At 47.9% G+C, this 19,706-nt stretch overlaps 2 protein-coding genes across 4 annotated transcripts in view, besides 2 other annotated features; one reads left to right on the top strand and one right to left on the bottom strand.

The window, feature by feature from the left end:
* Positions 2,071 to 15,423, top strand: AGMAT (agmatinase (putative)). Its single transcript, NM_024758.5, has 7 exons — positions 2,071 to 2,426; positions 3,727 to 3,929; positions 6,980 to 7,028; positions 8,068 to 8,263; positions 9,258 to 9,437; positions 12,281 to 12,365; positions 13,398 to 15,423. Exons 1-7 carry the CDS (start codon positions 2,155 to 2,157, stop codon positions 13,469 to 13,471), a joined length of 1,059 nt encoding a protein of 352 aa, NP_079034.3. The 5' UTR covers positions 2,071 to 2,154; the 3' UTR covers positions 13,472 to 15,423.
* Positions 2,089 to 2,418: a silencer, noted in NCBI's record as "silent region_308". NCBI's record gives its function as "represses an Ori minimal core promoter by ATAC-STARR-seq in GM12878 lymphoblastoid cells {active_cell/tissue: GM12878}" and the evidence as "EXISTENCE:reporter gene assay evidence [ECO:0000049][PMID:35858748]".
* Positions 2,529 to 2,578: an enhancer, noted in NCBI's record as "active region_239". NCBI's record gives its function as "activates an Ori minimal core promoter by ATAC-STARR-seq in GM12878 lymphoblastoid cells {active_cell/tissue: GM12878}" and the evidence as "EXISTENCE:reporter gene assay evidence [ECO:0000049][PMID:35858748]".
* The window catches only part of DNAJC16 (DnaJ heat shock protein family (Hsp40) member C16), a 44,886-nt gene continuing 40,568 nt past the window's right edge, over positions 15,389 to 19,706 (bottom strand). For all 3 annotated transcript variants that reach the window (NR_109898.2, NM_015291.4, NM_001287811.2), the window contains one exon: positions 15,389 to 19,344. Coding sequence is in view for 2 of the 3 variants with exons in the window: in NM_015291.4 (NP_056106.1) it covers positions 18,945 to 19,344 (400 nt within the window). In the remaining variant the exon portion in view is untranslated. The remainder of the gene's footprint in view (positions 19,345 to 19,706) is intronic.

Genomic DNA, 19,706 nt, shown 5'->3' with positions numbered 1-19,706 from the left:
GTGAAAGTCATCACCTCCGTATTAAAAGGGATTGCCAGCCGAGAAGGAGCCACGAAGGTGGAAGGAGACCAGGGGAGTCCCAGTCAAGAGGCCGCCTGAGGAACGTTTCAAGGAGAGAGGGTGCTCAGCAGTAGTGGATGTTGGGGACACCTCATTGGAACGCCTGGCACATAGCGGACACTCAATATTTGTGAGCTGAATGAAAGAAAAACCCGGAGTAAGAACATGATACATTCAGGACAAGCAACATGAAAGAAATAGCAGTTGAATTTGGGAGTCAAGAGAATAACTGAGACCCTTTAAGTGGCATAAGGGAGAAAAAAAGGAAAAAATAACTGAGAGATTGTTGCATTTGTTCCAGAAAATGGCTGGGACCTGCCCCAAGGCCAACACTAAGCACTGATAATTGACCATTAGGAAACTCTGTCCCGACCTGCAGAGTGGAGGCTCCACTCCAGAGTGGAGGCTGGAGTGGTGTGGGGTTTAATGTGCAACCTTTTTTTTTTTTTTTGACAGAGTCTTGCTGTGTTGCCCAGGCTGGAGTGCAGTGGCGCGATCTTGGCTCACTGCAAACTCCACCCTCCCGGGTTCACGTCATTCTCCCGCCTCAGGCTCCCGAGTAGCTGGTACTACAGGTGCCCACCACCACGCCTGGCTAATTTTTTGTATTTTTAGTAGAGATGGGGTTTCACCATGTTAGCCAAGATGGTCTCATCTCCTGACCTCATGATCCGCCCACCTCGGCCTCCCAAAGTGCTGGGATTACAGGTGTGAGCCACCGCGCCTGGCCTAATGTGCAACCTTTGTGTAGAGGTTGCAACGTAAATGCAAATGTGAGCCTTTTCCATTCAATCTCAACATTTAGAGATCAGAAAAAATAATATATATAATACTGCTAAATGGCTCACATAATTCCATTACAAATCACTTCTTTCTTTCCACGTGTGTTTTTCTTTCCCCTTAGAAATAAAGAGGATGTAACAGGTTCTCTGGCACTGTGACCTTCCTTACAGCTTGCCTGTAAGTCCTTTATTTATTTATTTATTTATTTATTTATTTATTTATTTATTTTTGAGACGGAGTCTTGCTCTGTTGCCCAGGCTGGAGTGCAGTGGCCTGATCTCAGCTCACTGCAAGCTCCGCCTCCCGGGTTCATGCCATTCTCCTGCCTCAGCCTCCCAAGTAGCTGGGACTACAGGCACCTGCCACCATGCCCGGCTAAATTTTTGTACTTTTAGTAGAGATGGGGTTTCACCGTGTTAGCCAGGATGGTCTCGATCTCCTGACCTCGTGATCCGCCCGCCTCAGCCTCCCAAAGTGCTGGGATTACAGGCGTGAGCCACCGCCCCTGGCCTCTAGTCCTTTTTTAACAAGGTTATTTAAAAAGACTTTACTGGCCAGGCGCGATGGCTCACGCTTGTAGTCCCAACTACTCGGGAGGCTGAGGTGAGACGATTGCTTGAGCCCAGCAGTTTGAGGCTGCAGTGAGCTATGATTGTGCCACTGCACTCCAGCCTGAGCAACACAGCAAGACCCTGTCTCAAAATAACTAGCTAGCTAGCTAAGTAGCTAACTAACTTTACTGCTTCTTGAGATTCCTATCCCTGGACATTTAAAAATACATTATTTAAAAAAATGCATTTCCTATTTTTCTGGCTTAGAGAAAGATCATTTTCCTTCATATCTTTCTGGCTTTAAAAATATTACTCTGGGGTGGCTGCTGTGGCTCACACCTGTAATCCCAGCACTTTGGGAGGCCAAGGTGGGAGAATCACTTGAGTCCAGAAGTTGGAGACCAGTCTGGGCAACACAGTGAGACCGTCTCTATAAAAACAAACAATTACTCTGAATGGGAGAAGAGGCTGCTGAAGGCCACAGTGGGGAGCAGGGCGCAGACACCCCTGGCACAGTGCCGGCCAGTGGGCACCCCCAGCCTGACTCTATTTGCCAGAGGCTGAAGTCCAGAGGGGTTGAGGGGAGAGCACGGCAGGTCCTGGGGCCCCTCCCCCGCCTTGATCCTAGGGCGCCCCTGACCTTTGAGCCGGCTCGGGTTCCGGCTCTGGCGCGTGCACACTCGCCTCGCCGTTCGGGACCAGCCAGATCGCGGCGGCCTCGCGGGCGGTTTGGTCGGTGAGGTCTTGGCCGCGCGCGGCAATGCTGAGGCTGCTGGCGTCCGGGTGCGCCCGGGGCCCGGGGCCCGGCGTGGGCGCGCGTCCTGCCGCAGGGCTCTTTCATCCGGGGCGCCGCCAGAGCCGCCAGGCTTCCGACGCGCCCCGGAACCAGCCCCCCAGCCCCGAGTTCGTGGCCCGGCCGGTGGGCGTCTGCTCCATGATGCGCCTGCCGGTGCAGACCTCCCCCGAGGGGCTGGACGCTGCCTTCATCGGGGTGCCCCTGGATACTGGGACCTCCAACCGGCCTGGGGCGAGGTAAGGCCGGAAGGACGGGGGCCGGGTACACGTGGAGGGACTGCTTGCTGGCTGTCGGGCATGGAAAGCACCGAGACAGGCGCCCCTGCTGGCCCCGGGTCGAGTTGGAAGCTGGTGGCCGGCTCCAAAATGCCCCTTATGGTTTGAGATGGTTGATTTACCTGGACCCTCAATAAGCAAACCCCAGGGCTCAACATGGGCGTGGCCTCCCACATCTTAGTGTCATCATTGGTCAAGAAGGGATTTTGGCCGGCCCGGTGGCTCATGCCTGTAATCCCAGCACTTTGGGAGGCTGAGGCGGGCGGATCACGAGGTCAGGAGTTCGAGACCATCCTGACCAACATGGTGAAACTCTGTCTCTACAAAGGTACAAAAAAAAGAAAAAAAAAGCCGGGCATGGTGGCGCGGGCCTGTAATCCCAGCTACTCGGGAGGCTGAGGCAGGAGAATCGCTTGAACCCGGGAGACGGAGGTTGCAGTGAGCTGAGATTGCGCCACTGCGCTCCAGCCTGGGCAACAGAGTGAGACTCCGTCTCAAAAAAAGAAAAAAGAAGGGATTCTGGAGCCTGAACCTTCTCTGTGTCCCCATCCTGGGGCCTTGCTGGGATGGCTGCTGTGGATTCCTCCCCTCTCCTCTCCCCAGCTTACAGTGGCAGGTGACATTGCATTTGAGAGCAGAAACTGGCTGCCCCTTCCCCAAATCTGAAGATGTCACCTGACTCAAGAAATGCTCAAATGAAGGCAATTTTCCTAGGATCAAGTCGGAGGAAGCAAAATTCATCTTCCTAGTTATTGAACGTCAGCAATTTCTGATTCAGCTCAGCAACACTATATCTGACCGTACTGATCTGAATTATGAAAGCCAGCACTTATTAAATGTCTCCTAAGTGCAAGGTGCTTTGCATAGATTACCTCATTTAATTTTTACTACAGTGCAAGGTAAATATTTTACAAATTAGGAAACTGAGACTCAGGTAGATCATGAAATTCACTAATGCCATTTAGTACACTTATTTAGTCTCTTCGATACATAGCCTAGATCGGTGATTCTCAAGTGGGGCGGTTTTGCACTCCGGGGACATTTGGCAGTATCTGGAGGCGTTTTGGGTTGTTACACCTTGGAGGAAGGGTGCTACTGGCACCTAGTGAGTACAGGCCGGGATGCTGCTAAGCATTCCATTATGCAATGCCGCGACACGGAATCATCTGGCCCCAAATTGCTGAGGCTGAGAAGCCCTGGCCTAAGCAAAGCCTGAAATCTCTGCAGATGATGGCTGACAGGATGATTCTTCCTTCTGCAGATTCGGACCTCGCCGCATCCGGGAAGAATCAGTGATGCTTGGGACAGTCAATCCTAGCACGGGGGCCCTCCCCTTCCAGTCCCTCATGGTTGCAGACCTAGGCGATGTGAATGTCAATCTTTACAACCTTCAGGACAGCTGCCGGCGAATTCAAGAGGCCTATGAGAAAATTGTAGCAGCTGGCTGTATTCCTCTGACCTTGGGTAATGTCAGTCTGCAAGAGCCAGAGTAGTTCCCTGCACTCAGGGTTTACTTATCCTGTACTCAGGGGCTTGAGTACAGCTACTTCTCCCCTGCAAGCCACTGCAAATGTGCAGACAGTAGGAAAGAGAGCATTGTAATTCATTTATTTTAATCCCTGGGGAGAGAATATTTCACGTGTGTGTGTATGTGTGTGTGTGAGACAGTCTCACTCTGTTACCCAGACTGGAGTGCAGTGGTGCAATCTCGGCACATTGCAACCTCCACTTCCTGGGTTCAAGCAATTCTCCTGCCTCAGCCTCCCAAGTAGCTGGGATTACAGGCGCCCACCACCATGCCTGGCTAATTTTTGTATTTTTGGTAGAGTCGGGGTTTTGCCATGTTGGCCAGGCTGGTCTTGAACTCCTGACCTCAAGTGATCCGCCCACCTTGGCCTCCCAAAGTGCTGGGGTTACAGGCATGAGCCACCGCGCCTGGCCAAGATGATGTTTCTAATGACTTTATTTGCGAGGAGAACTGCAAAGAGGGTGTTTTTGTCCTGCTCAGGGTCTACATCAACCTATAGGGCAGCTTTCCCCTTATCCTCACCCCTGACCCACTCTCACTTTTTCTCTTGTTCACAAATACTTAAAATGACAGGGATCTTTTCCTAAATATCCAAATTCATTTTTGCCAAGTTAGAGAGCCTAGCCTGCATGGCATAGTGGGAGGAGTGTGGTTTCCCGATGGCATGGTTTGAAGTCTCAGCTGCACTTCTCCCTAGCAATGTTGCTGTATACCGTGCTTGATGCTTCACACCCTCACCTGTAAGATGGGAATGATCACAGTAACACCTACTCACTGCATGATGTGAGGGGCATATAATGAAAGTGCACATGAAATGCCCAGCATCAAGCATGGCATATCTTTTTTTTTTTTCTTTTTTTTTGAGACAGAATTTCACTCTTGTTGCCCAGGCTGGAGTGCAATGGCACGATCTCGGCTCACTGCAACCTCCGCCTCCCGGGTTCAAGCAATTCTGTCTCAGCCTCCTGAATAGCTGGGATTATAGGCGCCCGCCAGCATGCCCGGCTAATTTTTATATTTTTAGTAGAGACGGGGTTTCATCATATTGGTCAGGCTGGTCTCGAACTCCTGACCTCAGGTGATCTGCCCACCTCGGCCTTCCAAAGTGTTGGGATTACAGGCGTGAGCCATTGCGCCCGACCTATGCATGGCATATCTGAAGCTTCAATAAATGTTAACTGTTATTATTATCAGAAAGAATACTTTCCTAGGTCTGTGCTGTCCAGTAAGGTAGCCACTAGCCACATGTGGCTACTTAAATTCTTTTTTTTTTTGAGACAGAGTTTTGCTCTTGTTGTCCCGCTTGGCTCACGGCAACCTCCGCCTCCTGGGTCCAAGTGATTCTCCTGCCTCAGCCTCCTGAATAGCTGGGATTACAGGCGCGTGCCACCACGCCCAGCTAATTTGTTGCATTTTTAGTAGAAATAGGGTTTCAACATGTTGGCAAGGCTGGTCTCGAACTCCTGACCTCAGGTGATCCGCCGCCTCAGCTTCCCAAAATGCTGGGATTACAGGCGTGAGCCACCACGCCCGGCCTAAATTCAAATTAATTAAAATAAAATATTCAGTTTCTTAAGTCATATTAGCTACATGTATGTCACATGTGTGTCACATGTGGATAGTGGCTACCATATGGGCCAGTGCAGATAGAACATTGTCATCATCATAGAAGGTTCTATTGAACAGAGCTATTCTAGGCATTTTCCTAGAATACTGTGAAAAGGCAATTCCTAGAGTAGCTCTTAACTTGTCTAATTTCCTCTTTTATTTATTTATTTTTGAGACACGGTCTCACTCTGTCACCCAGGCTGGAGTGCAGTGGTGCCGACATGGCTCGCTGCAACCTTGCCCTCCCTGGGCTCAGGTGATCCTTCCACTCCAGCCTCCCGAGTAGCTGGGTCTACAGGCGTTTGTCACCATGCCCAGCTAATTTTTGTATTTTTTGCAAAGACGGGGTCTTAATGTATTACCCAGGTGGACCTTGAATTCCTGGGCTCAGGCGATCTGCTTGTCTTGGCCTCCCAAGGTGTGAGCCACTGCGCCTGGTCTATTTTTATTTTTATTTTTTAGAGACGTGGTCTTGCTGTGTTGCCCAGGCTGGTCTCAAACTTCTAGGCTCAAGCTATTTATTTATTTATTTTATTTTATTTTTTGAGATGGAGTTTCACCCTTGTTGCCTAGGCTGGAGTGCAGTGGCGCGATCTTGGCTCACCGCAACCTCCGCTTCCTGGGTTCAAGTGATTCTCCTGCCTCAGCCTCCAGAGTAGCCGGGATTACAGGCATGCGCTACCATGCCCGGCTAATTTTGTATTTTCAGTAGAGACGGGGTTTCTCCATGTTGGTCAGGCTGGTCTTGAACTCCCAACATCAGGTGACCTGCCCGCCTTGGCCTCCCAAACTGCTGGGATTACAGGCATGAGCCACCGTGCCCAGCAAGCTATTCATTTTTTTGAGATAGTGTCTTACTCTGTCGCCCAGGTTGGAGTGCAGTGGCACGATCACAGCTTACTGCAGCCTTGACCTCCCAGGCTCATTCAGCATCCTGCCATTCTATAAGATCTTACTGTAGCTGTGGTTATAACTCCCCCCAGGCTGAAAGGGTGAAAATTGAGTTAAGATTATTCAGCTGGGCATGGTGGCTCATGCCTGTAATCCTAGCACTTTGGGAGGCCAAGGCGAGTGGATCACTTGAGGTCAGGAGTTTGAGACCAGTCTGACCAACATGGTGAAACTCCGTCTCTACTAAAAATACAAAATTAGCCAGGTATGGTGGTACACACCTGTAATCCCAGCTACTCGGGAGGCTGAGGCAGGAGAATCGCTTGAACCTGGGAGGCAGAGGTTGCAGTGAGCCGAGATTGTGCCATTGAACTCCAGCCTGGACAACAGAGCAAAACTACATCTCAAAAAAAAAAAAAAAAAAAAAAGATTATTCTATGTAATCCTCCAATTCACTTTCCAGATGTTTTCTTCTTCCTCTTTGCAGGTGGAGATCACACAATCACATATCCCATATTGCAAGCGATGGCAAAAAAGTAAGTCTCAAATGGCTTGGGCCCAGCAAGATTTCAAAAGCCAGAAGCTAGGGAATGAGTTATTTGCTGTTTGGTGGCATTAGGTGACTGCTGCTGGCTCAGGTTATGAGCTGCTTCTGGGGATCAAAATTAAGGTTGAGCTCCAGGTGTCTCTGTCAGTCAGCAGCTAGAAGCCAAGACAATTTATTATTAACAGTTCTGGCCACCCTCCCTTGCCCTAGATCTCTCCTGGTATGTGTGCTCAGCATTTTCAACTTGCTTCTGTTTTTGGAAGATGAGCCTCTAGTGAAATACACAACCTCAGTTAACTTCAGTTTCTGTTTTGCTTCAATGGCCAAAAACAAACACTGACAGGCACAATGGTGGACCTTGCTGAGAGGCCCTTGTTTCCTCCTGAAAGGGCACCTTTCTCAATCAAAAGACTGATTTGCCAGTAGTGGAAGTCTACCCAGGATTGGCCGACTTTGGCTAATTTAGTTTGAGAAAGAGACAGAAGGACCCGGGTGGAGGGTGGCAGCTCCAGAATGTGTCTGTGGAAGCACATGTGGGTGGCATTCTGGTTGGAGGTGGGAGGGTGCAGGTCTTTGCTCAAAGCTGCATTTATTCCTCACGGATTTGGATCAGATGTTTATTTTGGGTGGCTGGCAGGGGTTGATGGAGGTTATGGAGAGAGCTGGATTAAAGCTTCCTCTTCCTCGGTTGGAGAAAGGGTGTGTCTTGGTTTAGTTAAGCCTTCAGCCAAGCTCCCCTGTGCCACCACCCTTGATTCTCATCCTGTCTCTAAGTGAAGCAAATTCTGGGTGATAGGTGTGGGTGGCAGCCAAAACATGTCTATTTCCTGCCTGACTTCTGTGAGTTTATTGTTCCTCTGAGATGCAAAGTGATCTCAAGAAGACAGGAACCAGTTGCAAGGCAGAAAACGGATGCCAGGTCTCCCCTTTTTGGCTGTGAATTGTCACCAAGTTTTGGTGGCCCGAAGGGTGGCTGTGCTAGGGCCCCACAGGGAGGGTTGGCCTCTGAGCTGCCCTGTTGTCATCAGGCATGGCCCAGTGGGGCTGCTGCACGTGGATGCGCACACGGACACGACCGACAAGGCCCTAGGAGAGAAGCTCTACCACGGGGCGCCCTTCCGCCGGTGTGTGGATGAGGGTCTCCTGGACTGTAAGCGTGTGGTGCAGATTGGCATCCGGGGCTCTTCCACGACCTTGGATCCCTACAGATACAACCGGAGCCAGGTGACAGACCGAATGCCCCCCACCCTTGCCCCTCAAAATGTCTTCCTCTCCGTTGCCTCACCAGTGGCAGCCAGGGATTGAGCGGGGGCTTTACTAATCAAGTCTGAAGCAGGGATACAAGGCTGAGTTTGCATCATCAGGGGCATAAGGAGCATAGGAGTGAGGAAGTTGGTTTATGGGCCATGGGAAGTCTATCGCTGGGCGGGGGAGACAAGCAGAAATCGACCAACCCCTCGGACGGTGCTGGCTTAGAAGAGGGGAGGAGGCCGGGCACAGTGGCTCACACCTGTAATCCCAGCACTTTGGGAGGCTAAGGTGGGTGGATCACCTGAGGTCAGGAGTTCGAGACCAGCCTGGCCAACATGGTGAAACCCCGTCTCTCCTAAAAATACAAAAATTAGCCAGGTGTGGCGGTGCGCACCTGTAATCCCAGCTACTCGGGAGACTGAGGCAGGAGAATTGCTTGAACGTGGGAGGTGGAGGTTGCAGTGAGCTGAGATCGCGCCACTGCACTCTAGCCTAGGTGACAAAGTGAGACTCCATCTCAAAAGAAAAAAAAAAGAGGGGAGGAAGTCCGGACCCAAGATGAGTTGCCACCTTCTTAGTTCTGGTCCTCGTACCCTCTAGGCAGAATGGCTCTCAGATAGACGTGTATGACAAGACCCCAATGGAACAGACCCAAATCCCTTGCTTTTAGAGCGTGCCAAGGCCAGTCTTCTGGACAGAGCAATTCAAAAGGTGCTAGCGTGAGCTGCTGTTTCCCACTCTTGCTTTAGCAAAGCTTCTCTCTGATTCCAACTCCATCAGTCAGCTTTGACCCTGCTTCCTTACCACTCATTGTCCCTCCCTTCCTCACCTGTAAAATAGGATAGTTCCCTCTTCATGGAGATGGAGGGTCAAGTGTCATGTGCACACAGAGCTGAGCATGGGGCTGGCAAACAGGAAATGCCCTGTAAATGCTGCCAGACAGAAACCTCAGTCCCTGTCTCTGCAGGGCTTCCGGGTAGTCCTGGCTGAAGACTGCTGGATGAAGTCGCTGGTTCCTCTGATGGGGGAAGTCAGGCAGCAGATGGGAGGCAAACCCATTTATATCAGCTTTGATATTGACGCTCTGGATCCTGCCTATGCGCCAGGGACAGGGACACCTGAAATTGCTGGTCTCACTCCTAGTCAGGTAAGGAGATTCCACCAGTGAAGATCCTGGGGGTGGAGACACTTAACACCCATTTTCCTGGGACTTGAAGCGAATCTTTAGGAATCAGGATAGGATTTTTGTTTGTTTGTTTGAGACGGAGTCTCACTCTGTCGCCCAGGCTGGAGTGCAGTGGTGCGATCTCGGCTCACTGCAACCTCCGCCTCCCAGGTTCAAGCGATTCTCCTGCCTCAGCCTCCTGAGTAGCTGAGATTACAGGCACATGCCACTACGCCCGGCTAATTTTTGTATTTTTAGTAGAGATGGGGTTTCACCATGTTGGTCAGGCTGGTCTTGAACTCCTGATCTCGTGATCCACTCACCTCGGCTTCCCAAAGTGCTGGGATTACGGGTGTCAGCCACCGCGCCTGGCTGCCAAGGTAGGATTTTAAGAGCAGAGCACCTAGGCCTTTTCTGTTCTCTGGGCTGAGGATAAGTTTGAATACCCTCTTACTGAAGGGTGATTGATTTTGGCAAGGGCCTTCATTTCCTATCTGGGATATAATAGTCCCTTATTTTGTCCTTTATTTGCTCTTCCTGCCTTCAGTTCATCTGTCATGAAAACAACAGTTCATAGGAACAACATTATAGTATCCTCTCTTAAGAACACTAAACTTGGCCGGGCACGGTGGCTCACGTCTATAATCCCAGCACTTTGGGAGGCTGAGGTGGGTGGATCACGAGGTCAGGAGATCGAGACCATCTTGGCTAACACGGTGAAACTCCGTCTCTACTAAAAATACAAAAAAATTAGCCGGGCGCGGTGGCGGGTGCCTGTAATCTCAGCTACTCAGGAGGCTGAGGCAGGAGAATGGCATGAACCCGGGAGGCAGAGCTTGCAGTGAGCCGAGATAGAACCACTGCAGTCTGGCCTGGGCGAAAGAGTGAAACTCCATCTCAAAAAAAAAAAAAAAAAAAAAAAAAAAGAACACTAAACTTGGCCAGGTGTCGTGGCTCACGCCTGGAATCCCAGCACTCTGGGAGGCCGAGGCGGGTGGATCACAAGGTCAGGAGTTCGAGACCAGCCTAGCCAAGATGGTGAAACCCTGTCTCTACTAAAAGTACAAAAATCAGCCCGGCACGGTGGCAGGCGTCTGTAATCCCAGCTACTTGGGAGGCTGAGGCAGGAGAATTGCTTGAACCCTGGAGGCGGAGGTTGCAGTGAGCTGAGATCGTGCCACTGTACTCCAGCCTGGGCAACAGAGCAAGACTCCACCTCAAAAAAAAAACCAACCAACCAACCAAACAAAAACACTAAACTTGGCCGGGCGCAGTGGCTCACACCTGTAATCCCAGCACTTTGGGAGGCCAAGGCATCAGGCGGGTGGTTCACCTGAGGTAGGGAGTTTGAGACCAGCCTAACATGGAGAAACCCCATTTCTACTAAAAATACAAAATTAGCCGGGCATGGTGGCGCATGCCTGTAATCCCAGCTACTCGGGAGGCTGAGGCAGGGGAATCACTTGAACCTGGGAGGCTGAGGTTGTGGTGAGCCGAGATCATGATATTGCACTCCAGTCTGGGCAACAAGAGTGAAACTCCATCTCAAAACAAACAAAAACACTAAACTTATCTTTTTAGGGTTAAATTTAAATAAAAGTGCATACAACGGGCCAGGCGCGGTGGCTCAGGCACTATCCTCAGCACTTTGGGAGGCCAGGGTGGATGGATCGTTTGAGCCCAGGAGTTTCAGCCCAGCCTGGGCAACATAGTGAGATCCCATCTTTACTAAAAATAAAAATAAAAATTAGTCTGGTGTGCTAGTGTGCACCTGTAGTCCCAGCTACTAGGGAGGCTGGGGCAGGAGGATCAACTGAGCCTGGCAGGTCAAGCCTTCAGTGAGCCGTGATCATACCACTGCACTATAGCCCGGGTGACAGAGACCCTGTCTCAAAAATAAATAAATAAATAAATAAATAAATAAATAAATAAATAAAAGTGCATGTGATGGCACAATTACCTGCCAAGGTAAGCTCAAGAGTTTTAGAAACACCCAAATAAAGCTCCAATAATGTGTGCTGGGAGTAAATGCACGGGGGCAGAATGGTTATGACTAGAATCTCCCCAAGGGCAGGACCTATGTATTGTTCCCTACCTTGTCCTTGGAGCCTAGGACAGTGCCTAATACAAATAGTAGGCACTCAAAGACATTTGAGAGTAAATGAATGAAGACTGCTTAAACCTAATCAAGTACCTTACATCCTCTAAGATCTTAAAGGAGGGTGGCCATAACTCTCTCTCTTGAAATGGCTGTAACCATCCTCTCTTCTCATGAGGGATTTCTGAAACACATTCCTCATCCCTCTGCTTAGCAACCTTCTGGGCTTTTCACCTGCAGGATGGGAACCCTTTCAGACAAGGTCACTCTCTTCCCATCAGTCTCCCTCACTTACTCTGTCTTCTGGCCACATCTTACTACCTGAACTTTTCCCATCTTGGTGCCTTTGCCTGTGTTTTTCCCTCTGCCTGGCCTATCCCTTGAACTGGGTATTTCCACCTTGGGGAAGCCTTACCCACCTCTCCAGGCTATTACCTATGCTGATACCATTCTGGGCTTGCTTTCCTTGAAGCCCTTGGTGCATGACATTGAAACGATTGGTTTCCTTGTCTCCATCACCACACCATGCAGCCCTGAGGAGCAGGGACTGTGTACGCATTATCTGTTTCTCTGGGAGGCCTGCCAGTGTGCCTGGCAGTCAACAAATGTTTATGGAGGGAAAGCCAATTCCAAGTCAAAGGGTGGCGTGGGCTGGGAAAAGCTCTACTGGGTGCTTTTCACTGTAAATGATTACCACTGTGGACAACTCAGTCTTGATCTTGAATAGGCTCTGGAGATCATCAGGGGTTGTCAAGGCCTGAACGTGATGGGCTGTGATCTTGTCGAAGTTTCACCACCGTATGATCTTTCTGGTGAGTAAGCAAAGAGACTGAGATCCATGGGCAGCCGGTAGCTTAAATTACACGAAGCTAGTTAATAAGTAGAAAATGGGGCCAGGCATGGTGGCCCAAGCCTGTAATCCCAGCACTTTGGGAGGCCAAGGTGGGCAGCTCACCTGAGGTCAGGAGTTCAAGACCAATTTGGCCAACATGGCGAAACCCCATCTCTCTAAAGATATAAAAATTAGCCAGGTGTGGTGGCACACACCTGTAATCCCAGGTACTCAGGAGGCTAAGGCAGGAGAATCGCTTAGAACCTAGGAGGCGGAGGTTGCAGTGAGCTGAGATTGCGCCACTGCACTCCAGCCTGGGTGACAGAGCGAGACTCCATCTCAAAAAAAAAAAAAAAAAGATGAGTCCCTTATATGACTTGGGGAAGCAGCTGAGCATGTCCAATGGTGAAGAAAACACACCTATTACTGCACACCTTACAAACATGAGCTCATTAACCCTAACAAAACCCCCAGGAGGTAGTTAAGTATCATTAGCTTGCCCACCAATCAGCAGAAGAGAAAGAAACCAGCCTGTAGTCTAGTGACAGGGTGGCCCAATCCCCGTCTCCTTTGATGTTTCATTGCAAAGTGAATTCTAAAGCATAAATAATATATGTTAATATTTATCAAATAGGAACTTAGCTGGTTAAGATCTTCAAAGCAGACGCCATCCCAATAATTTTAATGTAGACAAACTTATGGAATTAGGCCTATCGACCTCAGAGGATAGATAATACAGTACACATCATTATTATAGGTTCTCCTTTGGGAAAAATCTGTTCTCAGAGTAAACAAAGAACTTTCTGAATTTTAAAATATGATTCCCAAATGATGCTTGATGGAGGCAGAGAGCCTGGGCAAGCGTGTTCACAGCTGGCGGGCACCCTAGAGGGGTGCACAAGACAGGGCTCTGGAAAAGGAGGCACAAGGGGAAGAGAAAGCTGAGGAGTCCCAAGGCTTGGCTCAGCGGGTCGTCTGCAGGGTATTCATGTGAGGTTTTACTTTTTCTTAGGGAACACAGCCCTGCTGGCGGCTAACCTGCTGTTTGAGATGCTATGTGCTCTCCCCAAAGTGACAACCGTCTGAGTCTTGTGCTCTTCAAGACAAAACAGATTGCGTCGCTGACAAGTTCTCAAGAAGAACTTATGAGTAAGCAGTCTGAGAACTAAAGAGTTTATGCCAAGAAAACTTTCTGCTGAAAGTGTCATTGCTGGCTGTGAAGTCGGGATAATCAGTAGAATTCTCACCCAAACAGCAACATTTCTAAGGAACTTGGATTAATTGGGGGAAAAAAAAAGGAGTACTTGTACTGCTTTGATTTTTTTTCCTTTGATGAAAGATGGAGGATAAAGGGGAAGTGAGGAGAATTTCTTTCAAGATTATCTAAACATTAGAAACATGACATTTAAAAAAACTATGAAATAATACTGTATAAGCATTCCATATTTCTATATCTTCCTTTTAAACATTTTTTTTTTTGAGATAGAGTTTTGCTTGTCACCCAGGCTGGAGTGCAATGGCATGATCTCGGTTCATTGCAACCTCCGCCTCCCGAGTTCAATCGATTCTCCTGCCTCAGCCTCCTGAGTACCTGGGATTACAGGTGCCTGCCACCACGCCTGGCTAATTTTTGTATTTTTAGTAGAGACAGGGTTTCACCACATTGGCCAGGCTGGTCTTGAACTCCTGACCTAAGGTGATCCGCCCGCCTCAGCCTCCTTAAAGTGCTGGGATTACAGGCATGAGCCACCGCACCCAGCCGCTTTTTAAAATTTTGATGATCTGCTTCCTAGAGTATTGAGTATCTTCCTTTAAACTACAGCTCCTCCTCGGACGCTGCAGTGAGCTGAGATCGCACCACTGCACTCCAGCCTGGGTGCCAGAGCAAGACTCCATCTCAAAAAAAAAAAAAAAAAATACAGCTTCTCCTATGAGGTGCTTAGGGCTGCATCTTGGTTTTAGGACCACTGTGAACGTAAGTAAAAAGTATAAAGTAACACGGAGAGCCTAATGAAGAAACTTCTTGCTCAGAGGCCTAGAAGGGTACACAAAATGTCTTCTAAACTAGAAAACCTAAGGCTGGACACGGTGGCTCATGCCTGTAATCCCAGCACTTTGGGGGGCGGAGGTGGGCAGATCACTTGAGGTCAGGAGTTCGAGACCAGCCTGGCCAACATGGTGAAAACCCATCTCTACTGAAAATACAGAAGTTAGCTGGGCGTGGTGGCGCGTGCCTATAGTCCCAGCTACTCAGGAAGCTGAGGCAGGGGCATTGCTTGAACCCGGGAGGTGGAGGTTGCAGTGAGCTGAGGTCATGCCACTACACTCCAGCCTGGGTGACAGAGTGAGACTCCGTCTCCAAAAAAAAAAAAAAAAAAAAAAAAGCAGGCCGGACCCAGTGGCTCACGCCTGTAATCCCAGGCCTAGGCGGGAGGATCACCTGAGGTCAGGAGTTCAAGACCAGCCTGGCCAACATGGTGAAACCCCGTCTCTACTAAAAAACAAAACAAAACAAAACAAAACAAAAAAACCCCAGAAAACAAAACAAAACTGGAAAATGTCAGCTGGGCTTTTTTTTTTTTTTTTTTTTCTGAGATGGAGTCTCGCTCTGTCCCCCAGGCTGGAGTGCAGTGGCCCGATCTTAGCTCACTGCAATCTCCGCCTCCTGGGTTCAAGCAATTCTGCTGCCTCAGCCTCCTGAGTAGCTAGAATTACAGTCATGCGTCACCACGCCCGGCTAATTTTTGTATTTTTAGTAGAGACGGGGTTTCACCATGTTGGCCAGGCTGGCAGCTGGGCTCTTAATGTTACTTATTGTAACTCACTTCCTGTAAGACTCAATCTACTCTTCAAGTTGATGTACCCTCTATGACTGTAATTCCTGAAATCTGCAGTTATGCTGTGGTGATCTTAAGCGTGTCTTGAGTTCCATGCAAATTCAATTCTGTTGATAATGTGTCCATAATCAAATCATCATCTTGCAATGCAAGGGCTACCCCATAATTATCAGACATTAAAATAGTTTATTTCTTTTTCCATTCTGTAATCTTAAAATAACATCAGCTTCAGTGCCTGTTCACAATACAAAAAAAGTCAAAAAACAAAAACAACACCCAAAACATAAAAAAGAAACAATTTGCCAAATAAGTTATTTGTTCCTAAGAGTATCAAAAGTGCAAAATATTCACCTTCTTTTCAGATCTCTCCCAAGCATAATTATCCTCCTTGACAAACTGAACAGACAGATTCAGCAGCTGCCACACTGCACTTGTTTTTAGGGGACAATGTCAGACAGGTGGATGTGAACTACAGTTCCTCTGTAAAGATGTTTGGCATCAGCTTTTAAAGAATTCTAGTTAACAAAACAGGTCTGAGTATGTGCTTCCAATCTCTATTCCCAAACAAAGGAAATCACTAAAAAAACAGATCACACTTCTTTTTATAACAGAAAAATATTTATGTAATGATGGCAGCTGCAAATTGATTGGGATGTTAATAAATAAAAAGGAACAAGTATCAACAAGCTGCAAATGAGGAAGAAACCAACCTACCTGAAAACTACAACCAAATTCTCATGGCTAATAAGTGATGGCAGTGAGACCATGGCCCCTAATGGAAGTTAGGGCAGCCTCACCCACTGAAATGTTGTTTAGTTGGAGCTGATAGCCTCAGTGTTAGATAAAAATTGTGCAACACCTGAGCAACAAATTTTTTTTTTTTTTTGGAAATTGGCATGTATTCTGCAAAGACTTGTTTTAGGCCAGTTTTACCCCATCTGCTAAACGCAATGCATAGTCTGTATCAACCAGAAGAACCCATCTCTAAAAACATCAATGTTGATAGTCAAAGACCACTGTGTTAGAACCAAAATCAGGTCTTGTATGATTACATACATCAGACAGAGCAATGGTGGCACAGGCTGAGCATGACAATGGCTCATATGTTTGACGCAAAAGTAAACAAATTCATGGATGCATTCAGGAGGAATGCCTTGCATGGACAAGGGTAAAGTTCAATTTAAAATAAAAGCTCCCTAATATTCTCATAGGGCACCAGCTCTAAACCGGTCTGTAGAAGAGCTTTTGGGCTGAAACATCTGCCAGGAACATTGCCAATCCCATCACTACCTTCATTTCCTAGTGCAAATGGAAGGTGCAGCTGTTTGAAGGTGCTTTTTAAAAGATCAAAAGATGACTTGAAGAGATAAAAATGTTTAAAAATGAACAAATCTGGCATGGTGGCTCATATTGATAATCCCAGCACTTTGGGAGGCCAAGGTGGAAGGACTGCTTGAGGCCAGGAGTTTGGGACCAGCCTGGGCAACATAGCAAGACCTCGTCTCTATTAAAAAAAATATAAATAAATACACTTGGAGAGTTTTTGGTTTTCAGAAATTAAAGTCAGGAATTTCATTAGTACAGAAATTAAAAATAAAAACCTACTACCAAACCAAAAGACCACTCATATAAGCAATCTGGCCATAAAATACCTAGAAAGTAATATTGAGGACTGATGTATCAAGGAGCCAAATGAATTCCTTGACCATTTCTAGTTGGACCAGGTGCCATGAGATACAGCATTCAGAGGAAGTGTCCATTTTTAGAGGATCATATGGAAGAATGAAGCCTGGCAGTGATTTATTTTTTAATAAAGCTACAGACTCCATGAAAACTACAGGAATTCCTGGCCTTAAATAATTTATTACTTACCAATGTAGCTCAAGATTTAAATTATTCAGGATCCAAGTGGCTTAGTTTAAAGCATTAAGATTAAAGAAATACTAACTTAGCCGGGAGTGGTGGCTCACGCCTGTAATCCCAGCAGCACTTTGGGAGGCTGAGGCAGGCAGATCACCTGAGGTCAGGAGTTCATGACCAGCCTGATCAACATGGAGAAATCCCGTCTCTACTAAAAATACAAAATTAGCCGGGCTAATTACATGGTGGCACATGCCTGTAATCCTAGCTACTCAGGAGGCTGAGGCAGGAGAATCACTTGAACCTGGGATGTGGAGGTTGCGGTGAACCGAGATCGCACCATTTCACTCCAGCCTGGGCAACAAGAGTGAAACTCTGTCTCAACAACTAAAAAAAAAAAAAAAAAAAGAAATACTTAGTAAATGTCCCATCACTGATTTTCACCCTTCACAAAGCCACCAAAGGCACCTTGCTTTGACATTTGAACGGACCACTCTTTGAAGCTGTCCAAACTCAAACTCAGAACCACTGGTCATTCTGCCCTGAAAAATAAAAGGTATGCTCTCTAACTGGCTGGTATGAGGCACCCTGGGGTCCACTATACCTGGAGCTCAGCACGCTCAGGTGCTGATGGCCAGTCTGACCCCAATACTGGTGAAGCAGCTCTAAGTTAAGAGTGAAAACAATGAAGATGAGACATCAAAATACAGCCCAGAAGTGGAAAGTAAGCCTTTTGCAAAATGGGAGTCTAGAACAAATCTTGGCTCACTTCCTGCAAAAGATGACTTGAAGAGACAGCACTTTTAGGGTAACAGTGTTCAAAATACAATTGTTGAGAAATTTTAAGTTCCTTGATACAAAGACATGTTTGGTATTTTACTAAAGAGACACTATTGAAGAGATTCCTTAAGCCTGACTCATAGCAGGTGGGAATAATTTCTCTTCAGTTTAACATCTACTGGCTTTATAGCAGCTTATCTCTACGTTCAGAGAACAAGATTACAAGTTATGGCTCCTAATATCCATACCCTAAAATCGACAGAGGCAGAAAGGCATCTGAAGACATACATGTCAACGGCTCAAAGTCATCACAGTACTTCTCGCTGTGCAGACCCCTCCCCTGGCTACCAGCAGCGCTGGGGCGGCGGATGGGATGCTCACAGCGTGTCTCAAGGCTGCATCGCTTCAGCCACTGCTCAGCCTCCCTTTCCTTTTCTTGAGAACTCACATGCAGAACTCCCGTTTATTCCTTTCCTTTTCAACCTGTGGCCAACAAACTGTTGTTGGGGGATACCCCCAAAATATACATTTAGCCACTTACTCCCAGAACAACCAGTAAACGTGAGATTGCTTGGAAAGGGGCCTTTTTCCAGATGCGGGGCTAGAAGCTGCCGTGGGTTGTTCAGAGTTAGGAGCATGCGCCATGGCAGCAGCACAGCAGGGCCGGGATTGGGGAAGGGGCCAATGACCTGGCCTGCACGACAGGCTCATGAGGGTCCGCCAGATGCCGCTTGCAGGGTGGAGCCCTGTGCTTCTCCAAGACACAGGACAGGAGGGTGGGGTGAGCATGGGACAAGGACAAGAAAGGAAGAGGGGATGAGCAGTCTATTTTCAATGGTGTGGCATTCAGTGGGGAAAAATAACACCCAGAGGAAAAGATTTTCATCTAGGCGATTCAAACTGGTGGTGTTTTTCATTCCTAGGTTAGAACAGGACAAAGGAAAGATTCTTCTAGCCATGGTTCTAGAAGAGCAATCTAAAATCTATACTCTGTTCATTGTGGTAGTTTGAGTCCTGAAAATACCTGTTCACAGGGGCATGTTAAAAAGTCTGAAGAGTTCAAATCTCTTTGGAAAATCCTCTCAGTCTAGTTCAGGCCATGATGGGATATAAAACCTCTGTAAGGAGCCCTCCAGCAGGCGTTCCATCCATAAAGAGAGCTTGCTCAACTTTCCTTTGATGGGCCTGGATCCAAGGCCACAGGAAGGTTTCCCTCGAGATTCACCCAGGTAGAGGGAAGAGTCAACATCACTGCACGACCCTATGGCTTCCTCCTCTTCGACTGTCTTTTGGGGCTTGAAGAGGCAGAAGTATTTCTTGTGGCCATTCAGAGCCAGTACATAACCAGTGTAGTCACGCTCCATGAAATGCTTATCATATTGGTTTGGGATTGGAGCTGCATCTTGAGCAAATTCTAGTAAGTATTCTAGCCATTCTCTGTGTTTATCTAGACTCAGGAAGGAGAAGTGTAGGCAGCTGCTCCTGTAGGAAGAAGAGAATTGAGGACTCAGGGCATTTCCTGACACATTTAATTGCTGAGAAAATAAATACCCCAGTGAGACTTAAAATAATAGGAAAACGCTTTGTGTTGGATGGGGCCTGAACACAGAGAAAAAGAAGGCCTTCTGTGGGAGCCAGTGCCTCTCCAGCAGCTGCGACACTTCAATCACCCATTCCCCCATCGCTTGCTCGGTGGAACTTAACATTGCTCTTCTGGAAAATACACAAGGGCTAGAGAACAGTAACTGAAAGGGCTCAGGGAATAACACTGAGTTCAAGCTTTTCTGTTCAGAACCAACAAAACACGAAGTGAAGTGGGAAAAGAGGTCCCTGTCGCAATGGCT

This window comes from Homo sapiens, chromosome 1, assembly GCF_000001405.40.
Source record: "Homo sapiens chromosome 1, GRCh38.p14 Primary Assembly".
In the NCBI taxonomy this organism is placed as follows: Eukaryota; Metazoa; Chordata; class Mammalia; order Primates; family Hominidae; genus Homo; species Homo sapiens.
The sequence above is the reverse complement of the archived record's forward strand: the minus strand, read 5'-3'. Positions and strand labels throughout refer to the sequence as shown.

Coding starts and splice junctions, on each gene's coding strand:
- AGMAT (NM_024758.5), top strand. CDS start 2,155: ATGCTGAGGCTGCTGGCGTCCGGGTGCGCCCGGGGCCCGGGGCCCGGC. Junction 3,930..6,979: donor CTGTATTCCTCTGACCTTGG/GTAATGTCAGTC, acceptor TCCTCTTTGCAG/GTGGAGATCACACAATCACA. Junction 8,264..9,257: donor ACAGATACAACCGGAGCCAG/GTGACAGACCGA, acceptor CTGTCTCTGCAG/GGCTTCCGGGTAGTCCTGGC.